At 42.6% G+C, this 4709-nt stretch overlaps 1 annotated feature.

Annotated features, from left to right (window-relative positions):
* Window positions 948-1242: a silencer, noted in NCBI's record as "tiled region #3567; HepG2 Repressive DNase matched - State 12:CtcfO". NCBI's record gives its function as "represses a minimal TATA promoter and a strong SV40 promoter by Sharpr-MPRA in HepG2 cells {active_cell/tissue: HepG2}" and the evidence as "EXISTENCE:reporter gene assay evidence [ECO:0000049][PMID:27701403]".

Genomic DNA, 4709 nt, shown 5'->3' on the forward strand with positions numbered 1-4709 from the left:
CTAGGGGTATTCATTTTGACACTTTCAGCACTGTCCATGAGCAGGCTCAGCCAGGCTTGCTCACCAGAGAAAGCTCCCAGGCACAGTGATATAGGCATTGGCAGCTGGAATCTATGAGTATACACTGAAGTGAGGGGAGGGAGGGTGGATGAGCACCAGCAGTGTCAGCTACATTTGTGCAGGGCTAAATATAAAGAAAGGGTTCTGCAACTCCCACTTTGTATCATACCCACAAAGCAGCTGACTTCCATGTTGCACAAGCTATTTTATAGATACATCACTTCATGTGACAGATTATGAAGCACAATTAATCAGGGGCCAATTGAATTTTAATACTGCCTCCTTTAATGACCTAGCAGGGCACAAAAGCTCTAGAAATACAAAGCTGCAGAGGATGGACGTGTTCTGCCTTTCATTTCTCAAGACAGATTTGCAATGATCAAGAGGCGTCCTGTGAATGCAGTTTGCAAAGGACTTAGGCACACAGCATCTCCTTTGTTCTCACCACAAGGCTGCCGGGTGTGCAGATGTGAGGATTATTTCAATGGTGAAGAAGCATCCTGAGAGGTTACGTAGTTCAACTAATGTCACACCAAGAGGTATGGACTTGACCCACTTTCTTCTTTCTGTTTTCTTCTTCCCACCATACCTTGCTGCATTATAAGACTACTGCCAGTTCAGGGAAGATTTTAGCTAAAGTTAATTTAAGGCCTCCAAGAATATTTGAAACTATGTGCTATATCTAAAAATATATAAAAATGATGATAAAATATAAAGTTGTGTTTCAATTTCTGACACACTGGTAGTTATAATATACAGATACAATAATGACTAAATCTCTAATTTCTGTCATCTGAAGTTGATTCTAGAGCACTTACTACTTGGAGAGTATTAAATATAAAATGAGCCTGAACTCTTCCTTATGGCATCATTGCCACTGCATTTGGAGAGTCTTCTAGGTTCACAGATTTTTGACCCACTTTCTTTAGCAAAAGCTCAGGAAGTAAAGTCACACATTTACTCACATTGCACTCAAATGTGTGGAGAAAAGACAGCATCTTTATTTCTCTAAAATGGACTTTTGGCTTCTCATAAGTGCCATCTGCTGGGTTGTATGTGTATGTCCTTGTGAATGTACAAGTAGGTTCAGAGGCATTAGAATTCTCAAACCTTTTGGTTGAAGCCTAACATATTTAAAGGACTGTGCAAATGTCTTAAATATACATCTCCATGATTTTTCACAAAATAAAGACAGGGAGTCAGCTCTCAGAGCAAGAAATAGAACATCATCAGCACAGCAAAACCACCACGCCCCTGCCATCTCTGTTACTATATCTTAGAGTGGGAGTAATTGACATAATCCAGTCTAGTAACCTAGGTCTGATTTAATATCTTAATCATGCATAAACTATTCATTATGTAAAACACCCACTCTGTCAGACTGTGCCACTCTCTCCCTTCTCTGCCCTCAGCAGGAGAGCATCTGGGCATTTGGACATGGAAGGTGTGGGGCACAAGCATCTCATGGCCAGGGAACGGGGGAGGAGCATCTCAGAGCTGCATCAGAGTTCATGCTGGTCCTAGGACAAGAGTCAAGCACACCCTGCTTTCACCAGCTGCTGGTAGCTTTCACTCAGGTAATGCACAGCTGAACAGAACCCAGTTCTTTCTCTTGACTGGGCCCCCATCAATACATTAGCTCCGAATGATGCTGTGAACCTCTCTCAGTACAAGTTCCTAATCCTAACCCAGATGATTCCAAGATGGTGCTTCTTTCCCCACCATGATAACCTTTCTGCAACATCCTTGACCATTCTCACCATTATTTCTATTTCCCCTCTTTAAGAACATGTGGGTATATCTGGATCCCATTCATGTCATATGTGAACTAAGGATAGCTTGAGGACATTCAGTGTCAAGCCCTCTCGTCTTATGCCTTTATCACTGTGACATTTTCTCCTCCCAGGATCCCAAATGCGAAATAGGTCTTGAAAGGGATATCAGACACATGTCTGACCATGCGTCTCACCATTACATCAGTCTTTGGCCACTGTAGGAGCACCATTGCCCATCGCCATATTAAAAGTGGCCACCTGCAGAGTCTTCCTTCCTTAGAGTCTATGCAGAAGCCCAAGAAACAGGCTGCAGCCCCAGTAATCTGGGGCTACTCTATACCTCTCTGGATGAACTTAACCTGCCACATTCCTGGGGGTAAGAACTTCAAGAACTGACATGTTCACTCCCTCCAATATCTGCCTTCCTTCCTTTTCTGACTTTGGATATGTAAAGTGATGATCTTCAGGCTTGGCTCTCATCTTTATTGTATTATAGCCTATCCTATCCCACTGAGCTTTTCTTTCTTCCACTGCATATCCAACCACTCCTCTCTTAGTGGTCCTAGACAGGAGGGGTCTTCTTTGCTGTAGAAGAAAGCCTGTGATCTCAGCCTGTAGGTGCAACTCTTAGTCTGCTCAATGGGGCCTACAGGAACCTTAGAAAATCTTTTCTCTCATAATAGAGGCTGACTCTCAAGGTTCTTATTAAACAACAACAATTTTGCAAGTCATGTTGTTCTCTTTGGATTTCTGCTATAGCAATTCTAATGTCTCTTCATCCTCCCATCCCCTACTCTCCACTTCACCAATCTTCCCAAGGCAATGGATGCTTCAGGCTGACTATGGAGAAGGCAATATAGTTAAAAACAGAAAAGAGAAAAATGTGTCAATATGTCTCAAAATATTAATCCCAACATACACAAATAAAGTAGTAAGTTGCATGAAGAGTAATTTTAGCATTTCACCCAATATTCCTGCATTTATGCAGAACCATGCATTGTAACTAAAGAACTCTAATTTACTAGCTTCGGAAGCATTGAGTTAAGAAGATTTTTTTAAAAAGTCAGCAGACATTCATGTTTATATGATCCTTTATTGTTTAAAGATGTTTTCACATAAATGATCTCATTTGATCCTCACAAAATGAAGTAAGTTTTGCTGTCTTCATTTGGAGGCTGACAAAGGCTAAACTATTTGCCACCAGTGTATAGTGATACAGTGAGATCAAAAAATAATCTTTCATTTTGAAACATACCTTTCATGTAAGTCTGAAAGTAAAAACTGAAACTAGGAGTTTGAGCTAGACTCGCGGCTTTGAGAAGAACCTTCTTTGTGAACCACTTTCATCATGAGATGTAAATCAAATAGGAGCCCATTATCCTTTGGGAAACTCTGAATATTGTCAAAAATCTCTAAATTCAAATGCATCAGAATGTTCTTAAAATGCGTACGGCATGGTTGTGGATGGTGCATCCTTGCAGAGGTTAATAAAAAGTGCAAAGTGATGTTTTCCTTCCTCTGGCAATAACCAGAGGCAGGACTTGGGGCTCTTTCACTCTGGAGAACATTAAAAACTTGGACTCTTTTCGGGACACAAATGTGAAAACCAGCAGGTTTTCAGTGTTCTAGCAGCTGTGCCCAAAGAGAAATCAGAGATAAATGGCAGCTGAGGAATTCTTTTAACAAGGAGAAGCTGGGATTGTATCTGTGAGCTTCTGTTTTGCACATTGTACTTACATTCCTTACGTTATTTTCAAGTACCAGCAGTGTCTAATTCATAGCCATTTTGGAACTGAGCTTAAAGGAATCTTCTTATCCACATTCTTTGGCAAAACAGACCAGAGAGAATAATTGTAGGAGATTGGTCAGGGTGGTGGGAGAAACTGTAGGAAAAACGCAAACCTTCTTGGAAGGCCATGGGGGTTTTGCAAAGCTTCGGGGAAGAATGAGCAGTTCTTACCCTGGGGCAAAGGGCGAGAAGTAGGTACAAAGGAATGCAGGGGAGTTTATCAGAATAGGTTGTTTACTCATATCTCCAGAAACCGGGCCTTTAATCATCCACGCAATTACCCACAAGTGTATTGACTCAAGGCCTTTGTCATTAAATCTACACTGAATAAATGCCCGCAGTGCCAGCTGGTCAGGGCCACAGCTGCTGACTCTTTACAGTACCCTCTTTGGGGTCTGTGGGTGGCCCTGGTCTCCTAGCCCACTCTTTCACTAGATACCTGTGTCTGAGTGCATTTGTTCATCTGTCATTCAGCCAGGGTCTGTGGGTCAGACCTGGCAAATAATTATGGTGTGAAGAAGGGGTCAGAAGGCCCAGGAGCAGTGGCTCACACCTGTAATCCCAGCATTTTGGGAGGCCAAAGTGGGCAGATCACTTGAGGCCAGGAGTTCGAGACCAGCCTGGCCAACATGGTGAAACCCTGTCTCTACTAAAAATACAAAAATTAGCTGGTGAGGTGGTGCATGCCTGTAACCCCAGCTACTCAGGAGGCTGAGGCAGGAGAATTTCTTGAACCTGGGAGGCAGAGTGAGCCAAGATCATACCACTACACTCCAGCCTGGGTGATGGGAATCTATCTCAAAAAAAAAAAAAAAAAAAAAAAGGAGGGGTCACAGACCTGAAGAAGGAGATAGATGGCGCCTCAGTCTGGAGCATGATGTGTTGAGGGCACAGATGGGCACATGGAACATTCCAGCACTCCTCAGGGTTCTCAGAATACCTGCTGACATCACAGAGGGGTCAGCTTGTAGACCACTGGACAGCAAAGGAAAGGGGACCTCTCATGCTGGAAATGGATTGGAAGCAGAATAAGTCGTTTTTTCAGTAATTGTCTAGGCCATGTGTATTAGCCAAAAATAAATTTA

Source organism: Homo sapiens, chromosome 20, assembly GCF_000001405.40.
Source record: "Homo sapiens chromosome 20, GRCh38.p14 Primary Assembly".
Taxonomy (NCBI): domain Eukaryota; kingdom Metazoa; phylum Chordata; class Mammalia; order Primates; family Hominidae; genus Homo; species Homo sapiens.